Consider the following 1,349-nt stretch of genomic DNA (forward strand, 5'->3'; position numbering starts at 1 on the left):
TTCCTCCCCATACCCCACCCTTTCCCCCAAATCCCCAAAGTCCAATGTATCATTCTTATGCCTTTGCATCGTCATAGCTTAGCTCCCACATATGAATGAGAATCATATGAATTCTGATTCTCAATCATATGAATGAGAATACAATGTTTGGTTTTCCATTCTTGAGTTACTTCACTTAGAATAACAGTCTCCAGGGGGGAGGAGCCAAGATGGCCGAATAGGAACAGCTCCTGTCTACAGCTCCCAGCGTGAGCGACACAGAAGACGGATGATTTCTGCATTTCCAACTGAGGTACCGGGTTCATCTCACTAGGGAGTGCCAGACAGTGGGCGCAGGTCAGTGGGTGCGCGCACCGTATGCGAGCCGAAGCAGGGCAAGGCATTGTCTCACTTGGGAAGCGCAAGGGGTCAGGGAGTTCCCTTTCTGAGTCAAAGAAAGGGGTGACAGAGGGCACCTGGAAAATCGGGTCACTCCCACCCGAATACTGCGCTTTTCCGACGGGCTTAAAAAACAGCGCACCACGAGAGTATATCCCGCACCTGGCTCGGAGGGTCCTATACCCACGGAGTCTCGCTGATTGCTAGCACAGCAGTCTGAGATCAAACTGCAAGGCGGCAGCGAGGCTGGGGGAGGGGCGCCCGCCATCGCCCAGGCTTGATTAGGTAAACAAAGCAGCCGGGAAGCTCCAACTGGGTGGAGCCCACCACAGCTCAAGGAGGCCTGCCTGCCTCTGTAGGCTCCACCTCTGGGGGCAGGGCACAGACAAACAAAAAGACAGCAGTAACCTCTGCAGACTTAAATGTCCCTGTCTGACAGCTTTGAAGAGAGCAGTGGTTCTCCCAGCACGCAGCTGGAGATCTGAGAACAGGCAGACTGCCTCCTCAAGTGGGTCCCTGACCCCCGAGCAGCCTAACTGGGAGGCACCCCCCAGCAGGAGCACACTGACACCTCACACGGCAGGGTACTCCAACAGACCTGCAGCTGAGGGTCCTGTCTGTTAGAAGGAAAACTAACAAACAGAAAGGACATCCACACCAAAAACCCATCTGTACATCACCATCATCAAAGACCAAAAGTAGATAAAACTACAAAGATGGGGAAAAAACAGAACAGAAAAACTGGAAACTCTAAAAAGCAGAGCGCCTCTCCTCCTCCAAAGGAACGCAGCTCCTCACCAGCAACGGAACAAAGCTGAATGGAGAATGACTTTGACGAGCTGAGAGAAGAAGGCTTCAGACGATCAAATTACTCTGAGCTACAGGAGGACGTTCAAACCAAAGGCAAAGAAGTTGAAAACTTTGAAAAAAATTTAGAAGAATGTATAACTAGAATAACCAATACAGAGAAG

General features: G+C 51.1%; 1 annotated feature.

Moving 5' to 3' along the window:
* Positions 496-1,092: an enhancer, noted in NCBI's record as "OCT4-NANOG-H3K27ac-H3K4me1 hESC enhancer chr8:82339748-82340344 (GRCh37/hg19 assembly coordinates)". NCBI's record gives its function as "activates a minimal SCP1, AML or CMV promoter by ChIP-STARR-seq in naive H9 embryonic stem cells {active_cell/tissue: H9 hESC(naive)}" and the evidence as "EXISTENCE:reporter gene assay evidence [ECO:0000049][PMID:30033119]".

The sequence above is a fragment of the Homo sapiens genome, chromosome 8 (assembly GCF_000001405.40).
Source record: "Homo sapiens chromosome 8, GRCh38.p14 Primary Assembly".
Taxonomy (NCBI): Eukaryota; Metazoa; Chordata; class Mammalia; order Primates; family Hominidae; genus Homo; species Homo sapiens.